We start from the raw sequence: 24,145 nt of genomic DNA, 5'->3' as shown, positions 1-24,145 counted from the left end.
TTTCTACCAAAAAGGGATCTGGAGATTATGAAATAGTTTTTCCATGCAAGGAAGCCTTTCAGCAGCTGCAGCAGCTGGCTAAATCACAGATTAGCCACAGCTGTAGCCTCTACTACAAGACAGGCTCTCCCCACCCTGGCCCCAACATCCTCCCCAGGCTGGAACTTCCCAACTGCTGGACACTAGCAGCCCTGGTGGGACCTTTCTTAGGGACATTCAAGGTCAATGAGATGTAAAGTAAGGTTTGTAAAACTGGATAGGTGGGACTCGCCTGTGAGTACATACGTTAGTTAGAATAAAGGTGCACTTCACTTCAAAGAGATCTAATTTGCAAAACCTGAACACAGTATATGGAGGAGGTTAATTAGAAGCTCTGTTCACATCAGGAAAGCTTATTCCACTTTATAACAAGATTTGCCACAGAGTTGGGTAGGGAACATCTGTCTTCACACTAGGCTGTAACATCCGAAAGCTCCTGTCCACACTTGAGCACATAGTCACAGGCATTAGGAACAGGTTTCTCCACTCACAATTTCCACCTGTGAATCTCCCAGTTGGTGCAGTAGAAGATGGCACTGACGGGATGAAAAATCTATGAGAAATGATCTTGGGGGAGGAAGACACGGGGGGCAGGACCTGTGTCATTGATTTGAAGGTGGGTTCCTGGAAGAGGTGCCTTGAGACCACAATACCTACACGTTCTGTACTCTTGTTTTCACAGACCTCCTCTAATGTCTTTCAATTGTGGCAACAAAATTATCCAAAAGGCATCGTTTGTAGAAAATGCACTCAGAGAGGTCAGCCCTTCTTCCTGTTGTCCTCCAGCTTTGCTTCTAAAAAGGTTATTGACTTTGATTTCAAGCGAACCTAAGTTGTACCAGCTAGCTGTTCACTAGCTCACCCTGAGTCTCCTAAACTTTGTAGGCCTCAGTGTTCTCATATGTAAAATGGAAATAATAATGCTTACAATCCTATTGATATTATAAGGACCAGAGATAATATTTACAAAGTCTCACAATATACAGAAGCCCACTAGAATACAGTGATCGCGCAAATGATAGAGATTGTTGCTGTTGTCCAGATGCTAAATGTGTGTGTTGGTGGCTGTGTATGAGACAGGAGTTCTCAATGGTGACAGGAGCTCAGCCTAGGACATGAAGGAGTTTCCAAAGTTTTAGGGGCTAAGCCATTTCAAATGGAACATTGTGTTTGGAAATCAGTAAAAAGTGAAAAAGATATTAAGAAAAGCAAAACTGCTATTTCACAGCATAGTCTAAGGAGGAAAGTTCTGAGAAAATTGATGACAAGTGAATATTCTAGGCTATAACCTTTGCTGTGCATGGGAGCTTGTGAAATTATAACAAAGCAAGCATGCTTTGTTTTATACACACCAGGGAAAAGCATGAAGCTATTAACAGAATACCATCATCATAAGAAAAGAGAAAGGACTTTAAACTCATTTAGTCCAACTCTTCATTTTATAGATAGAGGACAAAAGAATGACATCACCTCTCAGTTAGTAGCCTCCCTTTCTTTTCATTGAATGGGAAGCATAGCTGTCAGGGTATGATGCAGAAGTCCAGGGACATTCCCCTCGCCAATCCCCCAGAGACACTGGCCTGGCGTATGCTTGCTGCTCCTTAAGCTGACCTGCTTCTGAGGCTGGCCTTTCTGGAAGGTGTTCCAGCGCACTTTGAGCATGTTGGGTAACAGGGTGAGGAATTTCAGTCAACCATTTCCCTGTCATGGTGTTAGTTACACTGGGTGCCTCGTTACATGAAAAATCCCTGAACGGTGTCATTTCCTCGTTTCCTCCTGCACATGCTTAGGCTGTTCTTAAGTTCCAGCATCCTTTTCCACCTGGTGGGATGCAAAACGTTTGGAGAAAACAGAGATTCTTCTTTTCCCTTAAATTAATTAACAGTCTAGCCAGGTTTAAGAGTGTTTCCTGACCCTATAAATTACAGTGTCTTTTTCTTTTTGATGCTGGTAAAACACATGACACAAATTTATTTGCAATCCAATAAAATATTCTATCCTGGTTTTAGGATATAATTGACAATAAAAACACTTTTGAGTAACAACATTCCAGTATAGGTGGAAGGCTAACTAGCAATTCAAGGCCATATGTGATTAAATGCTCTCAGACCTCAGAAACAAATCTGGCTGACATTTAATGCGGTCATAGAAGGCTGCAGTGGAGAAACTGTTTGAGCACAGCCTGGAAGGATACGTCACATTATTGCTGTGATCCCCTGAAGGAAAAGGACCATGGCTTATCAGCTCTGGAAATTTCTAAAGGGACCAGGTCTCTTTGGCCCAGATACATCCTGCAATAAATGTTTGTTGAATTAAATTAATTTGTGGCTAGAAATAATGGCAAGGGTTTTCCAGGCTAAGTAACAACAGAAACCCACTTGCAGAGATAAGCTTTCTGTTAGGAAACCCCACAAACAGTCTGGCTACAGGAAGGCTTTCCCTGGGGAAGTAATGAGAATAACAGTGGCCCAGGCTGGGTGGGCCACGGAGGCCAAGATAAAAGCATTATGCTTCCTCCTCAGTCAGTGAGGAATCATAGAAAATTTTTCAGTTAGGAAGCAAACAGTATGAAAATTAACCAGAAATAATGGGCAAGAAGGAGGGGAGGTGTGATGTTATGATTTATAACAAGAAACACATGTTTGGTTTTGGGTCCCTGATTCCTGGCACACAGCTCCTAAAACCCTTGGAATCTCCAAAGTGAGGTGTCTTCTGTATGTTAATGAGATGACTGCTGTAAGGGGTTGAGGGGTGCTCCTGGGTAGCCTCAGAAAGGGGGTGGTTTCCAGGGAACCAACATTGTGATTAGAGGATTGGAACTACCAGCCCCACCTACCCACCCCCCTAACAAGGGGAAGGAGAGAGGCGCTCACAGTTGCTAAAGGTTGAGTTAATCACCAGTGGCCAATGATGTAATCAATCATTCCTATATAATGAGGTCTCCATGAGAACCCAAAAGGACTGGGTTCAGAGTGCTTCCTGGTTGCTGAACAAGTGGAGGTTTGGGGAGGGTGGCACACCCACAGAGGCCATGGAAGCACGTACCTTGACCTATGCATCTCTTCCATCTGGTTCTTCACCTGGATCTTTGTAATATTCTTTATTATACTAAATAGGTAAACGTAAGTAAAGTGTTTCCCTGCGTTCTGTGAGCTGCTCTAGCAAATTAATGGAACTCAAGGAGGGGAGTCATAAGAACCCCCAATTTCTAGCTGATTGGTCAGAAGTACAGGTCCTAACCTGGGGACTGTGACAGGCATCTGAAGTGAGGAAAGTCTTGTGGGACTGGGCCTTTAACTTGTGGGATCTGAGGCTATTTCCAGGGAGACAATGTCAGATATGAATTGAATTATAGAACATCCAGTTTGTGTCCGATGGAAAACTCCCTGGTGTATGGGGAAAAATCACTTCCAGAGGTGAAATGTTCTGTGTTGTGTTGACTGTGTAAGAGAAGAAAAAGTGTTTATCTCTTACAGGAAGGTAAAAGTGGGAAGCACTTTAGCTTTGTAGTTTGAAATGAAAATAAAAAACTCGGGACCCCAATTCACTCTGCCAAAAGGAAAAAATAAAGCTGAAAGCTGAGTTATGCAAGAAGCTGCCTTTCCTTTTGTTCCTACGCCGGATAAAAGGTTAAATATCTCCACAGGTAGCTACTCCACGTTCACCTTATCCTGAGAAAAGTGCAAATGTACTCAACACGTAATTGACTATCCCGCTACCTGCTCCTTTCTCTTCCAACATGGGAATTATACCCTCCCTATTTCCTCTTCAGCCCACTTTTCCCATTTAAATATTGAAGTCCTCAAAATCATCTTTGGAGAAAGGTACAGACCACAGATTGTTTCTGTGATTCCATGTTTCTTTCTCCCAGGCATGTCCTTAACCTTGGAAAAATAAACTTCTAAGTTGATTAAGGCCTATCTCAGATACTTTTTGGTTTGCAGTAGCTAAGCCCAAAGGTTTAGACTTGGGTATCCTGGGTTCAAATCCCAGCTCTGTCCTTTCCTGGCTGGGCAATCTTGAGCTTAACTTCTCCAGTTTTCTTATATGTGGCAGAGAAATAATAATAGTATCTACTTCATTGGATTGCTGTGAGAACTAAATGAGATATTCATAAAAAGTGCTTAGTGATTATAATGCCTGGCACTCAGTAAGCTCTCAATTAATTCACAGCTACAGGGAATGCCACTGGAAGCACAGAAGTACTTACCATTTTCTAACCCATTAAAACAGTTCCCTAGTCCACTATTCAGGCAGACTGTACAGTCTACCTTGTCTAGTTTGTAAATTAAGTTATATGTTCTCCATTATAAATGCCCAACTATAACTGTTTCATACTGCAGATAAGCAATCTGTTAGGCAGCTGAAATAGTGAATTCAATTCTCACAACATCTCACCTCTTATTCTCACCACCATAACCAGCTATTTCCAGGACTGAATTGGAAAGAACTAAAAAACTTTTCAACGAAGACTCAAAACTCAAAGACTCCTTCTTTACCAGCTCCAAGGATTAGTCTCCCCGAATGGCACTATGTTCTAGATCACAGGTTTCCAGCATGGGGAAGGCAGGAGCACAGAGTTAATGAGGAAGTTCACAATTCAATATGGGCTCAAGCATGGTTTAAAAACTAAAAGTTACCTAGGATGTCTCGTATGTATGCCTACCATGTTTTCCAATTCTGTTCTGATTAATAAATTACAAACTTATTGTCAAATATGACTGATTTGTAACCTTTTATCATTATATATTTTCTCAATACACAGATGACAACATACCACTACTCCCATGTGAGGGTTTTTAATATCTTTTGACATTTTAGAGGAGTCTACTGAATGTGGGCATCAGGAAAAAACACAGGTGTGGCAAGAAGAAAATTATAGATCACTTGTCTTTAGGGAATAAGGAGCTATGTGCCTATGTCCTAGATAATAAATGCCTTAAAAACAACGCGGTGATAGAAGCTATTAAAATAAGCAGAACGGTGTCAGACAGTCTTGTCCCTTGACTCCAAGACCCTGGGAGAGATTTTCAATGGCAAGAAAAATTTGAAATAGGAAAAGTTTGCTTCCCTTTCCCTGCCCAAAAATAGACATCAGTACATAAAGGGATAGACTCTCTCTACATGTAAATCCCAGAATTCTCTTTTTTTTTTTTTTTTTTTTGAGATGGAGTTTCACTCTTGTTGCCCAGGCTGGAGTGCAATGGCACGATCTCGGCTCACCACAACCTCCACCTCCCGGGCTCAAGCAATTCTCTTGCCTCAGTCTCCCGAGTAGCTGGGATTACAGGCATGCGCCACCACGCCCAGCTTATTTTGTATTTTTAGTAGAGACAGGGTTTCTCCATGTTGGTCAGGCTGGTCTCGAACTCCCGACATCAGGTGATCCGCCTGCCTTGGCCTCCCAAAGTGCTGGGATTACAGGCGTGAGCCACCCCGTCTGTCTGCAAATCCCAGAATTCTTATCCAGAGAGGAGTCAGCCAAGAAAAATATGAGAATGCAAACATGATTAAATGCCCATAGTGCCTCCAAGTAGCTCTCACCTGTCCTGCCATTCAGGAGGATCGGCTTGCCCTCCAGCTCTCCTCTCATGGGCACCACCGTGATCTTATACTCAGTCCCCGGGTGCAGACCTGGAAACAAGCAGGCAGCGCAGGATGTGAGTGCAGGCTCCAGACCCCTCTCCCCAGCACTACTCCTCCCTGGGATTTCTCCCGTGAGGGAAGATGAGAGGTGATGCTTCCTCCTCCAAAGATGAATCTGTATTTGCAGGCAAATAAAGCCCCGCAGGTGCAATAGAACATGAGGTGTCACTGAGGGGGCTTATAGGCTGGGGATGGGAGTAGGGCATCACAGCAAATGAGATGACAGCAATTGAAATGCATTTCAAATGTTCTCTGGTTCTTCACTGGGCCACCTAGCACTTATTTCCCAATTTTATTTATAGACCCAAATGTGTTTCTGCTCCCAGCAACCCTTTTCCTTCCAAAGCATCTCTCCTTCTCATTGTGACATTTAGCCTAATTTTTTCCTATTTATTTTATTAGAGACAGGATCTCACTGTGTCACTCAGGCTAGAGTGCAGTGGTGCAATCACGGCTCATGGTAGCCTCAACCTCCTGGGCTCAAGGGATCCTCCCGCCTCAGCCTCTTAAGTAGCTGGGACCACAGGCATGAGCCATTATGCCCAGCCCTTTTTTTAAAAAAAAGTTATTTCTCTGTAGAAGCAACTAGAATTATTTTTCCTTGGGCACAAATATTCAGACTGTGGTGGTAAAATGCAGACAAACAGAAGCTTGTGTGAGGCACACACCCTCATTCTGCACTCCACAAACACTAAGAACCCCAAAATGTCCTGTCAAGACAGAACTCAAGGAGTGGACAGCAGAACAAGGCTCCAGGAGGGAATTTACCATGAAGCTAATAAGCCCCACACTTTCACGGGCCCATTCCAAGGCCTTGTACCTGATTGGGTATTCATGATTGCGTATTACTTTTCTTAAAAAAGAGCCCTGGAATTGTACAGACTTCAAGCACTGCCAAACTTGATCCATCCCTGCAGCCTTGTTTCCTTAGCAGCCATTTGAGCTCTAGCTCTTGGCAGCATTAGCTCAGAAATCAGAGACAGAGAGCCACCCCTGCTCACTGCACCCTGCCCCCCTCCACATCCCCCAACACAACCCCTTCCATGCATCATGCTCAACAAACCAATCTCAATCTCTCTCTCTCTCTTTCTGTTCCCTCCTGTCCCCAACACCCAAATACTAAAGTTCCTCCAAAAGGAATATCTATACACCATCAAATCCATTCTGAGACACAGACAGGGTCTTCAAGAGAGTTTGCTGACTTGGAGAACATCTCACAAATATAATCTGTTAACAAGGTGCCCTGGGATCGAGCTCTGGAATGCTGGGGCAGAGTCTACAGGCCTCCCAGGTGGGCTTATGTCTGGCAGATTCAAGGGTCAGATTCAAGTGTGATTCCTAAGGCCCCTGGGCTGTCTGTGCACACTTGAGCAGTGCAGATGCCAGTGCCCTCTGCACACACTATCCCCACCTCTGCATCCACAGCATACATCTCACATTCCAGTGATGGCTCTTACCAGTGATGTCATATCGGCTCTTGGGGTCACTGCTCTTGGGCACAGTGACCTCAGCTACCTCCTGTCCTGTCATGGGGCCATATCGCAGCTTGTAGTAGTCCACCTCAGTTGAGGGGTTTTCCCACTCCACGTCAAGGGAGTTCTCAGTCTCATCTGTCACCCAGGCAGTGCCAAGCACAGCAAGGTCTAGGGCAGGGGTGACGGAGGCAAGAGAAAGTGGTGAAGAGCAGAGGTTCCAAGGTTCTGTGACAGGCTGTTGGTTATCAGGTCAGCTCCCTTTCTTGACATCTCAAGAGCTGGCTTCAGCCCCAGGACACAGTTCTTAGCAGGTGTCTTTGAGCTACCAAAGTAGCAACTAAGCTGCTGGTTTTCACATATTCCATGGGCAGACTGTCTTTTGGGAAAGCCTCCACTTCCCCATCCCATCAGAGGCCATGTGGTCTTCCCTGTCCACACTGACTTTGGCCAAGCCCAAACTGTACCTCTCAGGTTGGCCACCCAAACCACTCAGTCCAGAGCTCTGACAGCTACAGCCCTGAACTAAAGGCCCACTCTTCAGCTGCAGAGCCCCTGCCCTCTAAGACGACCTCAGGATAAGCAGCTCAGGCACTTCCACGGAAAGTGGAGAGAATCTATTTCAAACTTTCTCAAGGACAACATTGGTAATCCAACAAGCTCCTTCCTCCATCTCCCAAATTGCAGCCCTTGCCTCTCAAATTCTCCTCTAAGGATGAACCCTAGGCAAAACTATAAAGTAGGTGAATTTTAACTTGGTCCATCTGAGTGTACTTCCTGCTATTTTTACCAATTTTAGCACTTCCATCTGGTACCTGGTATTCTCATGCTGCCCAATCTGTCTGTCCTGTGAAGGAAGAGAGTTATTGTATACATTTATTCATAGTAAAGTATTAACGGCTAAATGTTTACTCTTCTACTCAGAAAAAAAAAAAAACATGAAGTTACAGTGATTAATACAAAGGAATGGATCATTGCTACAGCTCTAAGGGGAGAACTTTTCTAGGGATGGGAGGACTAGGGTCTTTGAGAAGCACTTCAAATTCCAACAGCCATATCCCAGGCTGAGGGAGCCTGGCCTTCTAAGTTTTTGACAGGAAAGCCAAGGCCCTCCAATTCTCAGGCTTCCCCTCTTCATCAGTCACGCCCCCACCTTCACCTCCCTGGAGGTGTCTCCACCCAGGCCTACTGACCACTGACGGATGATGAAGGATCGAGAATTAGTGTCAGGCCAGGTGTGAACTCAGTGATCTCAAGGTCCCTGGGCTCTGAACGTCCCCGATTCAATCAGTTATGGATAAAGAGCCTCACAGAGCCTTTTCTCTGAAGCTTTTCCTCTCACCCACTGGCTTCCATCTGCCAGGTGCTGTTTTTAGACTCCCATTAAAGATGGAATTCCCTGAAGGCCAGGTCAAGAGGTGAGTAATAAATGTGACTTGAGGCTTATATAAGAGTTCCTACATGGTGTAAAAGAATTGGGAGGGAATCACAAATGAAAAAGCAAGGACTTAATGAGAATGTTCACGATTATGGTGGGGATGAGTACCTCTTGTCTTAGGCTCCCCTGAGGAGCAAATAAGAATGTGTTTAACCTGAATCAGATTAGAAAGAAAGAGAAACTTCACACTTGCAGAATTTTACAAATCCCGAGAGCAAGATGGATGAGGGGTTGCTAGGACTTTCAGAATAGGCATCTCTGTGCTGCACTGGGAGGCTTTGGACACAGTGCTAGCTGTACCAGAGGCAGCCACAGACAAAATGGGGAAAAAGAGAAAAGCAGACTCTGCCAGCCAGAATGGGCCTGGCTCCCACAGTGAGGACTTGGTGTCTCCTATTGAACATAAACCATTTCACAGGACATCAATGTCAGGTCACTCTGTGACCGCATAGATCAAGACAAAAACAAGACACTTCCATGATCAACTCTGAACACAGACAAAAACATGACCATTGTCCAAACCACACAAATAGCTGAACACCCACTCTCCTGACTACTATGAGTGATGGCCACTTCTGTTACAATCACCAACTTCAGCCTCTCAGAGGGGAGAGGCTCTCCCCACTTCTTGACAGCACCCAATCCCTGCTTCCTTACACCTTCCCCCAAATTACCTAACACAGGCCCAGATTCTCTAACCAGTCCTTTCTAACGCTGTCTTACTGAGATACCTCTATGGTCCCCCATAGTGTGCAGTCACCCATGCTAGAACAATCAAGACACCCAAGTTGTTCAACTACAGGGGTGCTCCTGGGGGTCTTTAGCTTGAGGGCACTGACAAAGGTAATCACATATGGTGACCTCATGATGGCCAAGTCTCTCACAGCCCTTTCCAACACTGACCCATCCCCACCTCCACCCTAGTCCCACCACCATAAAGGACAGGCAGCTTGATGTCTCTGCAAAGACAACTGCATGCCAAAGTTCCATCCATCTGTATCTTCCTAGATCTTTCCCTAGAAGTTTAGGGCAGGATGGAGGCAGTGCATTTTTAGCACCGAGAACAGTGCCTGACAAATGGTAAGTGCTCAATAAAAATGTACTGTGTGAAGGAATGAGTTAGTCATTCAACCAACTACGTTTCTCCAAATCCTTGAAGATCTAAGCTGCTTTAAGAATGTTCACGAGGAGACAAGAATGTTTAAAGAGTAAGCAGTGATGCTAATCCTTCTAAACATTTTGGTGGCATTTGCTGGTGCACAGGAGATTCTGTTTCTCCAGATCAAGCCTCCACCATCCTCCATCTTGTTCTGTACCCCAGGCTGTGATCTCTGTGAATTGAGTCTGCCTGTTTACCTGACCCTTTGGCTTCCAGGTTCAGCTAGCAGGAATCACCAGCAGATCAGAGGGCAGGAGACAGAATTCTTTGGAGACACGGTGGACTGCCTGCATCCCTCTACCAAAACAACCCTACCAGGCAGCTCTTTTCTACAGCTCTCTCTGGGTCCAAGTACCAACATCTATCCCTTGCCCCTTCAGGCAGGAGAGTATCCTTATTGATGCAGGTCTTAGTGTGTCACCATCCAACCCCTACCCACACCTTTGTGAACAATCTGTTAGTTAAACTTTGAAATTTCATTTACCCCATTTGTGTCCTGTCTTTCCCACGAAGATGAATCTAACTGATACAGGTGGCTTCAGCAGCCTCTCACCCATACCTATCTGAACTTTCTGAATGGCTTTGGGGGTTCAGTAAGAGACTGGGGATTCATGTCTACACTTTGACTGCTTATGAGAAGGTGCAGACCCAAATAATCTCAGGGACAGAGAAGACCCCATGAGCCCCCATCTAGCAGGTCTTCATGGGCTTGGAGAACCCAGTAATCAGGGAGCAAGGAAAGAAGAGAGAGAACTGGGACTCTTCAGAACCTAGGATTGTGGCAGGTGTGTTTTTCAAACCCCTAATCAAGGCAACTGCCTACAGGTGTTTAATGAAAGAAACCATTTAGAATGGGGCCTCTCCTGGGAACCCTGGGGCATCAGGTGGCTTCCTCACCTGTGGTGGCAAGTAGATGCTGTGGGCTGCTAGAAACTTCATTCTTGACGTTACGCAGGGTGACTATGTACTTGGTTCCAGGCAGCAAACCAAGAATCTCATAGCTGTGCTGCTCCTTGGGCACTTGGATCTGCTTCCCAGAGAGCTCCTTCCCCAGGGGGTAGTAGCTGAGGAGGTAGTGATCCACCTGGCTGGAGGGCTCCCAGCTCACCAGCAGAGAATCCTCCGTGTTCTTGAGCAGCTGCAGGCCCTGTGGGGTGACCACTGCAGGCAGAACAGGAACAGGGCAGAGAGGGTGAGCAAGGGAGGCGATCCAGACCCAGTGAGTATTCCCTGAGCACTATAAGGGTGGGTGTGCAGGATGCAGACCTGTGTAAGGCGCCATTCCCGACCCCTAGAAGTTATTATCCGAACGACAGGTAATTAATACTGACCCCCTCACCACACACACACACACACTCACACACAGCCATTAGATCACAAGACCAGTGGTCCTCAAGGTTAGGGCCTCTAACCAGCAGCATCAGCATCACCTGGGAACTTGTTAGAAATGCAAATTCTTAGGCCCCATCGCAGAATCAGAAACTCTGGGGTTGGGACTCAGCAATCTGGCGTAGGCTAAAGGAAGAGACCCCCAAAGATGACAACGTGTAATTGAGGGTTAAATGGTGCATTGGAAAGAAGAGTCCGGCGGCCCGAGGGCACATCTCCGCTCTCACCCTGGGCACAGTCCAGGCCTGTGAAGCCCTCCTCGCAGTAGCACTCGCCCGTGTCACAGAAGCCGTGGCCGCTGCAGTCGCCGGGACAGCGCTTCTCGCTGCAGTCCTCCGACATGAAGTCTTCGTGGCACTGGCACACGCCGCGCACGCACTCGCCGTGTCCGCTGCAGTTCTCAGGGCAGGCCGGGTAGCCGCAGTCGGCACCCACGTAGGGCTCATGGCACAGGCAGCGCCCGTCCACGCAACGCCCGTGGCCGCTGCACGCCCCGGGGCAGGCCAGCCGCTCGCAGGCGGGGCCCTCCCTGCCCTCTTCGCAGTGGCAGCTGCAGGTCTCCAGGGAGAAGGTCCCGTGGCCGCTGCAGTGGCGGCTTAGATCTGGGAGGGAGAGGAGAAACAGTAGGTTGGGTTGAAGGGTTGTGCGTGGGGATCTCCTTCCTCTGAGATCAGCCATGCAAGACCCAGAAATCATTAGCCCCACTCTTAAGGGTCTGGTGATTTCTGGGTCTTGCACGGCTATTTTTTGGAGGATGGTGGAGCTCCACAAGGGAGAAAAGGTGTTGGCCCTTTCCAGCCTGGGCCAGGCTTTCTAATCTGTGACATCTGCAAACGTCTCCTTCTTTCTCTGCCTGAAAAGGCTGCAGGACCCACCCTTCTTTCCTTTCCCTTCCCGTGTGAATTCCCCGGTTCCTTCCTCTCTACCTGGTGGTCATTATTTAGTGCCTTCCTATGGAGGGGCCTTAAATGCTCCACCCTGGCCAGCTGACACTGCAGGGCAGGACTCCTGGGGGGAAAGTGAGATCCAGGGAGGTTGGAGTTTGCTGGAACTAGCAAGGCTGGGACCTTGTGAAATGAGCCCAGATTGAAGTCTGGAAAAAACGGAACTGCAGAAGCTACAAAATAGCCTACTCTCAACTATGGGTACAGTGGAGAAGGGATTTAACCAGGCTCCCCTCTCTGACCCTACACAGCAAGAGGCAGCTGGAGGGCAGACTGGTTAGTGCAGTCTCCTCTGTGGCCCAGCTTCTGCTTTTCAGAACACCTTCTTTCCTTCCTAAAAACGCTTCCAAAGTGGGAGCTCCTCAGAAGCAAGTCCATGCTGGTTATTCATGGCAGTGTCCCTGGTGCCGAGTTCTGTATCTGGATCTGATGGTTAAGGTGCTCTTTACCATAGCAATTCCTTCAGGCATGAAATCCTATGCCAAAGTACTGTTCATTATCATTGGATCAGCCTGGGCAGTTTATGTTTAAAAGTGACGGGGTTGCGTTGGGGGAGAACCTTCATTATTTGTAAAATTAAATTGTAATTATTTTACAATTATAATTGTAATTTTTACTAATAAAATAATTATAATTTACTGATTTGTAAATTCCTCTAAGGGCCAGGAATCTTCTACACATCATCTCTAGTTCTCAGAACTATACTAGCTGATAGAATCATCCCTGTTGGACAGTTGAGGAAACATAAGGGATTTACCCAAAGTCACACAGCTAAAAAGTGGTAGAACTGGGATTTGTAACCTGTCTTGTCTAGCTCCAAGGCCCTATCTTTCCTGTGTATCCCATTGCTTCCTCTCTGAGTAGCGCTTTGATTCACAGGTATGACGGCTCCTGGAAGCATTCCCATCTGGAAGCAATAGGCCAGGAGTCTAGACTCTCTGCAAGAGCTGCTGGTCCCTCCCTGCTCAGCTTCCAGATGCCCCCTGGAGCTAGTACCAGTGAATAAATGAATAAATAGCAGGGATGGGCCCCCTAGAGAAAACCCAGAATGAGAAGTAGGAGCACACCAGAGTCACAAAGTGCTCATGAGGCTAGTGGAAACCCTGGCACATAATAGGTGCTCATCAAATGTTTGTTGAATGAATACCAGGTGGTGAGCTCACCAGTGACTCCCTGGCAGCAGCGCTGGGCACTACACTGTTCCTTCATCTCCACCATCTCTTCCTCCAGCTTCTTCACCCGGGCCAGGAGGTCCTGGACACTGCCTGCCAACTCGCAGTCCTTCTGTGGCGTCTGAAGGCGGATGTTGTGCCTGAAGATGATGTTCTGTTCCTCCCTGGCCTCCCCCAGGGCCAAGAGCGAAGCCCCATCGTCACTGAGGGGCTGAGGGTCAGCGTCAACCTGAACCAAGGCAGACTTGGGCACATCGATCTTGTAGGTGTGGCTGACAGTGACCTGTTGCTCCTTGTTGCTGCAGCCGGGAGGCTCCAGAGTGGCTGGGGCCGAAGCCACCAGGAGCACAGAGCCAAGCAGGAGCCCCATAGGGAAGCGGAACATCTCCTGGAGACTCATCCTTGGAAAGACAGGGAGCAGACCCTCCAGGATGCCTGTATTCAGAAACATTGCAAAAGAAAGCCACGGAGATGTGCTGAGGGAAGCTGGCTTTTTTTTTACCAGATTCTAAGAGCCCAAGGAAGCTGGGAAACCAGCAGAAAGAACTCATTCTATTTCTCCCAAGGATCCGAACCAAATTACTTTCTGTTCCTGCCTCACAGATTGCATATTCCTGCCTCCTCTCTTTGCTTACTGTTCACACTGCCCAGGATGCCCTTCTCTTCACCTCTCATTCTAGGCTCACCTGCACTTATTAATAATAAGAAGAGCAGCTCTCTTGTGTTGACAGCCTATTGTGTGCCACGCTTTGATCCCCCTAATTCTGGATCTTTACAGCAACGCTAATATTATCCTCCCTTTTAACAACATCAACAATATGAGCTGCACATAGAGCACTTGCTATGTGACAGGCACTATTCTAAATGTTCTAAGTGTTTCACATTTATTAACTCATTCCATTCTCACAATTGTTTGTTGGAATATACTATGATGACCCCCATCTTATAGATATGGAAACTGAAGCACTACTACTTTAAATGACTTGCCAACCAGCACCCAGCTCAGAGTGGCAGGATTTGAACCCAGGCAATCTGACCCCAGAGTCCATGCTCATCCCCACAATGCCATGCTGCTTTGCACAGATGAGAAAGCTGAGCAAGTTGTCCTGAGTCCCACGGCCAGGAAGAGCAGAACCTGTACTCAGACCCAAGTCCACTGACTGCAGGGCCAGCATCCTGCTCACGAAACTCACTTGTGAACCAGTAAAACATAAGAATTTCTAATAAAATTACCTGCTCCACAAAGTCTTCTCTCCTGTCCCCCTGCCTTACCCAGCTGGAGACTAGCTTCACTTCTGCTAAGCATTCAGAGAAATGGACCTGTCCCTCACTGCTGGTCTCTTGAGCGTTGACCTGGTGTTACAGTTACTCTTGTATGCAGCTTGTCTTAGGCCGTGAGCCTGTTAAGGACAGGACTGGGCTGATTCATCTTGGGGCCCTCCTGTGGCAGGAGCACTGTCACACATGCGGAGAGGTTTGGTCACTGTTTCTCAAATCCATCCGTGCATGGGTGGCCTGGTTTGTCAGTCAAGCCAGGCGACCTGAGATGGGGCAGGTGGTTAGGTTTTTCCTCCTCCTTCACCAGGAGGTGGTGTCTTCACCACTGTCAATGAGCAGAATTACTCTCTCCAGCCATTTCCCCTTGTGCCCCCAACCCCCATCTAGGACGGCCCATTCTTTGCACACTAACAAGCTGAGGCAGGACAGACCACAAGAGACCCAGCTTTCACCTCACATTTTGCTCACAGGAACCTCAGTCACAAGATACATCCCAGTTGGGCTTGCATAGCAGCAGTTATCTAGAAAGTGATCTGCAGAGCTGTCTCTTGACAATGGGTTTCTGTAACTAACCCAAGACCTGCAATTATTTATGCCAAAATTTGAAGTCAGGAAACACAGTCCTCTCCTGTGGTCTGTGTTTTGCTTGAGCACAGGCTCTCCCTGCCCGTGGTGAGAGGCAGTTGGGATATGGTGGAAAGGCACCTCAGACAGGCTGTAGGATGTGCATCCCTAAAAATGCTCCTCATCCTGAGCCTCCGCCTCCTTGTCTGTAACGTGGGAATGACAGCGCGTCACCCCTCTTAGATGTGAACAGCAGTGAGCACTATGTCTGGTATGTGAGCAAGGATTAGTCAAAATTTTGAGGTTTATTTTATTTTCAATCGATTTACTGAATGTGACTTCCTTTTCTTCCTCATCTGTTCTGCTATAAAGAATAATGCTGGCCGGGCACGGTGGCTCACATCTGTAATCCCAACACTTTGGGAGGCCATGGCAGGAGGATCACTTGAGGCCAGGAGTTCGAGACCAGTCTGGCCAACATGGTGAAACCTTTCTCTACTAAAAGCACAAAAATTAGCCAGGTGTGGCGGTGCACTCCTCTAATCCCAGCTTCTTGGGAGGCTGAGATAGAGAACTGCTGGAACCCGGGAGGCGGAGGCTGCAGTGAGCCGAGACCATGCCACTGCACTCCAGCCTGGGCGACAGAGCAAGACTCGATCTCAAATAATAATAATAACGCCTAGGTTGAAAGGCATCTTTCAACTATATTGATTATAAAAGGAAGAAATATTTCTAGCCACTAAGCCAAATTCTAGTAATATGTAAAATGTTTAATTTTAATAGTCATCATTCATTTAGTATCAGGAAGTTGAGGAAACAGGGGGTGAAGAGCCCTGGAAGAATAAAAGAAGAAGAAGAATCACAATAGCATGAAATGCTAAATGTTATTTACTGAGTTGCTGCTACGCACTAGGCATTGGCTGGGTGCATTATTCCTCGTAATTAATCCCCAGAGCTGCCATGTAAGGTCAGTGTTCCTCTCCTCACTCAAAAGGTAAGGAAACCAGATCTGAGAGGTAAAGTCATTTGCCAGGGTTGCCCAACAACGAAGTGGCAGAGCCAGGATTCAAACGCAGACCCATCTGATTGCAAGCCTATGCTTGCTCTGTGCCAATATGACATTCTGATACAAATGACAAATGAGCGCAGTTAGATACATGTCCCTATGCAATGCTTTCATCCATTATACATGTTGTACCCAAGGGATGTGACACCACTGTGAATTAAGCAGAATGGTACCTATGAAGGGTTTTTCTTTGTGTTACCCCTTTGCCCTCCCACTCCTTCATGGCTCTTCCTATCACCAAAAGCATGTATTGTTGATAATAATAAAAGCTCACTTCTTCTGAGAACTGACTGCATTTCAGGCACTGGACTCAACACCCGGCAGATGGAATGGAATAGTCAATGGGACACTTCTTGTTGTCTTGTGACTTGGACCATGGGTAATAAGTGCCTGCACACTTCTTTTTTTTTTTTTTTTTTTTTTTTTCAGACAGGATCCCATTCTGTCGCCCAGGCTGGAGTGCATTGGCACAATCACGGCTCACTGCAATGTCCACCTCCTGGGCTCCAGTGATCCTCCCACCTCAGCCTCCTGAGTAGCCGGGACTACAGGTATATGTCACAGTGCCTGGCTAATTTTTGTATTTTTTTTGTGGAGATGGGGTTTCACCATCTTGCCCAACCTGGTCTCGAATTCCTGGGTTCAAGCAGCCTGTCCACCTCAGCTCCCCAAAGTGCTAGGATTACAGCCATGAGCCACTACACCTGGCCGTGCCCACACATTTCAAAGACAGTGTGCCACTGGAGGTTTGGGGGTTGGGGGTGGGGTCACGGTGAATTAGTGGGGGTGGCAGGCAAAGAGACTGGTGCCTGATTCTGGCCCGGAGGAATTCACAGGTGGAAGCTTGGCTGGAACAGGCTGCATGGCAGAGAGAGGAAGGGGGCTGCAGTGTGAGAGGACTGAAACTCAGACTTTGGCGAGGCCAAGTTGATGTCACAGAAATGAGGCATGTTAGAGCTACCAAGAGGGCAGTTCAGGGCCCGAGCTGAGGTGCAGGTCCACCGTTCAGCAGGAGTGTGCCACCCCAAGGGGGCGACTGCAGCAGGACATGCCCAGTGGGTGGGAAGGGGAATATCTAAAGATCCCACAGAAGCTCCCCACAAAGGAGGGGTGGCCCAGCACTGGAAGCATTCACCATAACAAGGGCATCCAACAGAGGGAACCACAACAGCCCCAGTAAAGTAAAAGTGCCCTCTCCCTTCTTTTCTAACCCTCACCTCGCCCCAGGCAGCAGCAAACTGGTGAAGCCAGAAGCAGCCATGCATGTTAAGGAGAGAGAAGTGGAGGGAGGAAAGCCCCAAGCCCCTTCCCTCCAGCTTCTCTGCAGGTTCCAGCATCAGGTCTGAGCTGAGAAAGAAGAAAAGATGTGGCCTGGATGAGAGACTGAGGCTCAATACTGAAATGGACTTGCTTTCACAAAAGCAATTCTCTTCTAAGACCAAAAGCCACCAGAAAAGCTCTGGAATCTGCTTGAGATTTTTGTCAGAAGATGGGGGGAGTGGGAAGCCAGGAAAATGAGTTGGAAGGCAGGTGTAGGATAAAAATAATGATATTTCACAACGGCCATCCTTAGACGTTCATCACAAAGATAAAAGCCACACGCTATTCTCCACTTGATCCCCAGGATAGGAACTGAGGCTCAGTGGCATTGAGCAACTGATTATGCAATTGATGAGCACACGGCCACAGATGCAATCCCAGATGCACAGTGTCCAGCAATGGAGCCACTAATCCCTATACACTTCTGCCGTTCACCAGTAACAACGCATATTGATCTCTAAAGCACCTACTGTGTTCATGGCAGCACATGAGTTTCCACTGTCCAAAAATCTTCTTCCTGGGCAAAAATAGGGCTGAAAAAGCAGACTTCTCTGCCCGTGCTTTCCATCCGACCCCCCACCCCCAGCCTGAGACATAAATGAAGTGCAGATGGTTTTCTGAAGAAGTTCTCAACGAAAGCAAAAAAAAAAAAAAAAAAAAAAAAGCCGTGGACTCTTGCCATCAACCACAGTAAGGCTGCCCAGAGCCCAGGTCTACAGCATTTGTTTTTGTAGCCTGGAATATGAGAACTCCCACAAGTCCCTGTTGGAGCCCTTGGTGTTGCCTGTCCTTCTGATTTGTAACAAGATGTCCTCATTAATTACTGCCTCTCAGATTCCACAAGTTGCGCTCAGATTTTCCTGGGTAGGTTGATTGTTCGAAAGAAGATGAGAGCAAGGGAAATCCTCAACCTAACATTCTGTCAAGTGTAATGAGCAAGAAGAGAAGCCTGCTGGCTCTCACTCCAACACGTGGCAGGAAAGAGACTCCTTGTTTAACAGCAGAAGGGAAGGATGACTTCATCGACTCTTTCAGTATGCACAGCAAACCACAGGCTGAGCTCCGCGAGGGTGGGGAGGGGGCAGACAGGGCAGAAGATTTTTCTGAGCAAAACGCAGGATGATACATTTCCAAATAGGGAGGATTATTCTGCTGAGGGGTATTTTCCCATGGAAAGTTGGGTAAATTCTGCAGGGATGCATGAAGCGAAGGGCATTTACATGCAGGAAATGTGTATGCAGGAACCACAGGAAACCAGTTGTCCCCAAGAATCATTGTCTTACAGAGGCTGGTCATGTCTTTAATTCTGACTGCAGAAGGGGTGTTGGGTGGTGTGGGAAGGTGGGAGGGAGGGATACATTAGACTCAGGAACAAATGCTGCCTTGTGTTGCTTTTACCAGAAAGGCTCTTTGAGGAGTACACGACTGACCATGGGCTGCATGGATGGTCCCCCTACTTCTGCCTTCAGATGTTGCAGGGCTCTATGCTTCTGCTGTGTTCTCTCTTGGTATCTGCATCTACCCCTGTGGCTTTAATTTCCAGCCAAATGTTGACAGTTGCCAAATCTGTATGCGTGTTTCTAGCCCAGGTATCCTTGTGAGCTCAGAGATGACAGAGAGGGCCATGACTGTGTTGATCCCCTCTGTATCACCAGCCTCATAGCACAGTCCTGCCAAAGTAATATTTTGTGAAGTAAGTAGTAATAGCCACTGGATTTGTGTGTGTCTGTGTATGTGTGCTTATTAGATAATGGACATTGTGCCAAACGCTATAAAAATTATCCTCATTTAATCCTCAAAGTCCTGGGAGTCAGTTGATATCATTCTTTGTGACAGGTCCTCAGAGAAGTTAAGTAATTTGCCAAAGGACACACAGCTAAAAAGCAGCAGAGCTGGGATCACACACCAGGTCTGTCCACTGCCTGCGTCTGTGTTCTTCATCTGTCTGTTATATGTCCTGTATATACAAAACAAAAACAAAAACAAAAAAAACACCAGATGTCCTCCGTTCTGCCATGTGTTTTTAAGAGAGGGTTACTTCCTCTGAGTGGTGCCAAGGATGATCCACTGGGGACATGAATTGCATTTCCCTCACATAGAGGTTAAGTCCCAGTCAATTCTCATGAGAAGCTGGAGAATTCCCTTCCTAGGAAACACCAAAGTGCACAGATACTTCTGTCTGCAGGGGCAGATGGCATCCAAGCCTTGGCCAAGGGAGGAGGATGGCCCCTGAATCCTGATGGTCCTCTTGGACCCCAGGGGTGGATGGTTTCTGTGTCACCTCATTTTCCCCAAAGAAGGACACACACCCTGGGTCAGGAAAAAAAAAATACTACTTACGCCAAAGAAGAGAGGTAGCCAATTTCTAGCCACTGTTACAGACCTTTATACTTAAATTCAGGGCTTTCTCTGGTTCCCTTATTATCTCATCCTGCCTTGACAGTTAACCACAGGAAAATGAAAGCACTGCTTTGGGTTTTAGAAAAAGTGTATCATCATGGATTTCCAACAGAGTCACTTAAGAAGATATTCTGTCCCCAAATGACAGGGTGGATATCATTAAACTATGAAGGAAAATGAGGGAGATGAGTGGCTAGGGATGCATCAATGTCACAAATGTCACTGGCAAACTTGTCACTCCTTCCTTAACTCTCTTTGGCATATATTGCTAATGATCTGCAGCTTGGGCCCTGGGTGACTCAGGGGCCTTCCCTGTACTTCCCAAGTAACCTGGTCCAGGACAGCAAGTTCTCAGCTGGCTGAGGAATCTACCCTGGCTCAACTCACCTTGAACTAGAGGCTTAGGGGACCGATTTCACCTCTGTATCTCTTTCTCCTTCAGATCCAAGAAAATGGATATACAAGGGAGGTCTGTCTCTCCTAGGTTAAACTCCAGTAGAAGCAAGTACATACAAACATTTTTATTTCTAGTCTCTGTGATGTTGAATATAGGATTGCATATAGGATACAAGACAGCTAAGTATGGAAGAGAATGGAAATTTGGTTTTATGTGATAGGGCTTAGTATGGTCACATTCTGGGTATCACTCTGTCCCCCCATTCTCCTAGTTCTGTGGGATACCCAGGGAGTGTCCAGGAAGTCCTTGGAGATGACTCTCACACCACCGTGCTAGAACCCTTTTCCTGGAGAGCCATCCCATCAAGTCTGCCCACCCGCCTGAGGCTTGAAAAGATCAAGGATGGTGTCCTGACCCAGCCTCAGCACTCAATCACTTTTTCAGGGGTGACCACAGGCTCATTTTGTTTTGTTTTGACAACTGACTCTTAATCTGCCTTGCAAAGGCTCAAATGAGTGATGATAATGGTAGCTACCATTTTCTATGCATTTATTACATGCCAGGCTCTGTGCAAAGCACTTTAAAATCTCCTCTTGGACATCAGGCAAAGATGTTCATTTACCCCCAGAGAATGAATCACTTTCTCACAGCAAGAACTTCCTTTAGCTTTTGTGGGACCAAGCTCATGCACAATAACAAGATAAAATAGACACGGGACCTAAATTCAGGAACCTTCCTCTCCCTTATTCAACCAAACAGCCAGTCCCCAGAATGACTAAATATTACTTTGTATACAATTAGCCCTAATATCCATGGGTGTGAGGGGCGTCAGATTAAAACAAAACAAAACAAAAAACTCTGCAATTTCTTTCTTTAGCTAACGTGTTGTTTTCCACATATTGAAGTAACTTTAAAGTTCCAGTCTTCTAGCAAGGAGGAGAGCGTTTGCTAATTTCCAAGCATTTGCACTGTTCCACTCACACTCGCTGGGTACAGATTCAAATGGTGGCTGGGCAGCATTAGCAGTGAGTCCACTGTGGCAGAAGCAGCAAAGTCCCTGTCCATCCAGAGATCAGGCCTGAGATCTTAGCAACTTCTGCTCACAGACTGGTGGCTCCAGATGTGGCTACAGGACCTAAACCATGATCTCATGTCTGTATCCAGATCCTATAGGAGCCAAGGCTCTGGAATGAGCAGTGAATGGACAAAAGTTTCCACTGGGCCTGGGCACAATTTCCTCAGGCATCTTCTCAGAAAGAGAGCTCTGCCCACCCTACATTTCAAACCACAGAGCAGCACTGGACTGGAAAACCAGAAGCCACGGGATGATTTGAAATCATTTGTTCTATTTTCCCTCCTTCGGGAGTCAGCTGCAGCCTATAAACTGGGGACAAAGCAGTACTTAGAGTTGTATGAAAGAATGCCAGGTGCCTTCTTCCCTTCTCTCCTGGAAAAATGATACCAGTATTGATACTCTATTTTTTCCTGTGTCTGACACTGTCACCTTGATTCTGAGTCTGCAACAAATGTCTGAATGTCAAGAGGCCAGCTGCCAATACGTAGCCCTGACCGAGCAAGGTATCATCTGATGCCTTGGTGACACCTCAGCTTTTCCAAGAACCAGTGGATTTTAGGCACTGTGGCTAACCTGTGTCCCAATGTGGGCAGTTTGTTACTTTTATGTTGGAACTTGTTCTTTTTTTTAATGCTTATATAAGCAACACAGGTTTCATGCTTTTAAGTGAAGCCCTGCCTGTTCTCATTCATTCTTTCTCCATCCTTCCCCCAGATCTCTCCCAAGCACAAAAATTAATAAATAAGTAAAAAGTAAGACCTCCAAAAACTAGTTTTTTTTGTTTGTTTGCTTTGTTTTGTTTTTGTTTTTTAGATGGAGTTTTGCTCTTGTTGCCCAGGCTGGAGTGCAATGGTTCAATCTCGGCTCACCGCAACCTCCACCTCCCAGGTTCAAGCAATTCTCCTGCCTCAGCCTCCCAAGTAGCTGGGATTATAGGCATGCGCCACCACGCCCGGCTAATTTTTTGTATTTTTAGTAGAGACGGAGTTTCTCCATGTTGGTCAGGCTGGTCTCGAACTCTCGACCTCAGGTGATCCACCTGCCTCAGCCTCTCAAAGTGCTGGGATTACAGGCATGAGCCACCATGCCCGGCCAACCACATCATTTTTTTAGATGTCTTGAAATGTTTTCTTTGAGGTATTGTGAGGGTAATAGTATGGGGATTTCGAGAGAAGTTGTCGTCTTAACAAATAATAATTAAAACCTGTAAAATTAAATGTCTGGAGATACTTCAAAGCTGTTCAAATGTGTTTGCAAACATCCCCTTAACTGATTCACACAAAATCCAGACAAAGGGAAAGTTATCATAGCTTCCTAATCATAACTAAAATAACAATTCTGTTTTAGGATTTAAAAGAATAATGAAATACAACAATACTAAATTATCCAAAAAAAGACAGAGAGAGAGAAAGCTTTGACATTGTAAGTAAGTTAAAAAGAAAAAAAAATGAGAAGGAACATCTTAAAGGAAACATTTTATACAAAAATGTGTTACGCCAGGTAGAAGCTGATACAACACAGACGCATCTGTGTTGCAGGAAAGAGGATAACTATGCTTAGCCCTGTCTGAGACTGGAGTATAATACTAAGGATGCAGTACACGGGTCCTGAGAGGTACTTCCCAATTCATTTTAACTCTTCATGGAGGTGATAGGAGACTAATTACACTGCCCGGATTTTCAGGCTCGGGAACGGAGGCACCTGAGCCACCACTTTTGAGCTCATCTGCATTGGCCACCTCCCTCCCTCCAGTAAGTAAAGCTTGGGCAACTGGCACTCTTACCTGGGAGGCTGCTGGGTGCCTCTTCCAATGCTGCTGCTCCTGTGAGCCGGTCTCCTCCTGCCGCAGACCTTGGTACTTGCTGGTCGTCCCTGGTTCTCGTCTCTCCTTGGCTTCCCTTCCTGGGTTTAAATCCTGTCTAGGCCAGAGGAGGAGCAAATGGAGACTCCTGGTGTTTTCCTCCCTTCCTAGCAGGGACTCTGCTAAAAGATAATGAGCAATTCCTTCTCTTATTCTAACTAGGAAAGAAAAATATATACATTTCCTTCTTCTTTTTCACTTTGATTACACAGCAGCTAAAAATACTGGAGGCTGTTTCCATTTAAGTGAATCCAGAATAAGGATATTAAAAGAGTTTGCCTGTCTCCTGGCCAGGAGCTGGGTCTCGGGGTTCAAAAGTGCATTTATAAAGTTTCTTTCTCTTTTTCCTGTTTCAGGCATTCTGGGACTTCCTGCCTACTGCTTTTAAAATGGGAAAAAGCCTTTAGCACAGAAAGAAATGAGCAGAGACCCTCAGGGACAGAAGCTCTTCTGACTTCCCTCCTCCTTCATCCATCGTCTCACACTTGTGAGTGGCAGGACTCTGAAGTGGGGGCAGGAATAACAGACTGGGGACATTCGGTCCCACAAGCCCACTCTGACCCTCACCCCATCCCAAATGCCTCCCACACGCCAACAGTACAAGAGCTCCAAAATCAGGAAAGAATAGTCGTGCCCCTTTCTGGCTGCCCTTCCTCTTTTGCCCTCAGATGGACAGGCCTTCATCCTTCCTATGAACCAGAGTCATTTCAATAGGGCATGGGCTGACACCTGCCACCCTTCCTTACACCCCATCCCTCTCCTGCTCTGTGGGAAGTAGATTCTGGAGTGCAGATCCACAACAAAATGAAGGAGACCATATGTTTCCAGTTCACCTATGTCAGCATCAAATGCTGCTGGAGGGAAAGGAGAAGGAGAGACGGGGGACCAAAAAGTGGCCCCCAGAAATTGGAGGGGGGTTCCCAGA

The 24,145-nt window shown here is 46.7% G+C and overlaps 1 protein-coding gene across 3 annotated transcripts in view, besides 1 other annotated feature; it reads right to left on the bottom strand.

Annotated features, from left to right (window-relative positions):
* TNN (tenascin N) overlaps nucleotides 1-23,245 on the bottom strand; it is an 80,243-nt gene extending 56,998 nt beyond the window's left edge. The window contains exons 1-6 of one of the 3 annotated variants that reach the window (NM_022093.2): nucleotides 23,143-23,245; nucleotides 13,251-13,694; nucleotides 11,371-11,745; nucleotides 10,652-10,915; nucleotides 7,143-7,328; nucleotides 5,584-5,673 (exon numbers count right to left, since the gene is read on the bottom strand). In NM_022093.2, coding sequence (NP_071376.1) covers nucleotides 5,584-5,673; nucleotides 7,143-7,328; nucleotides 10,652-10,915; nucleotides 11,371-11,745; nucleotides 13,251-13,659 — 1,324 coding nt within the window. In that variant the 5' untranslated portion in view covers nucleotides 13,660-13,694; nucleotides 23,143-23,245. Of the gene's footprint in view, nucleotides 1-5,583; nucleotides 5,674-7,142; nucleotides 7,329-10,651; nucleotides 10,916-11,370; nucleotides 11,746-13,250; nucleotides 13,695-17,957; nucleotides 18,564-23,142 lie in introns of those variants that run through there. The other 2 variants (XM_017002048.2, XM_017002049.2) reach the window with 2 other exon arrangements.
* Nucleotides 22,725-23,924: an enhancer, noted in NCBI's record as "BRD4-independent group 4 enhancer chr1:175036290-175037489 (GRCh37/hg19 assembly coordinates)". NCBI's record gives its function as "activates an origin of replication core promoter dependent on BRD2, P300/CBP, MED14 and CDK7 cofactors, and independent of BRD4, by STARR-seq in HCT116 cells {active_cell/tissue: HCT116}" and the evidence as "EXISTENCE:reporter gene assay evidence [ECO:0000049][PMID:35650434]".

The sequence above is a fragment of the Homo sapiens genome, chromosome 1, assembly GCF_000001405.40.
Source record: "Homo sapiens chromosome 1, GRCh38.p14 Primary Assembly".
In the NCBI taxonomy this organism is placed as follows: Eukaryota; Metazoa; Chordata; class Mammalia; order Primates; family Hominidae; genus Homo; species Homo sapiens.
This window is presented reverse-complemented; position numbering and strand designations above follow the sequence as displayed.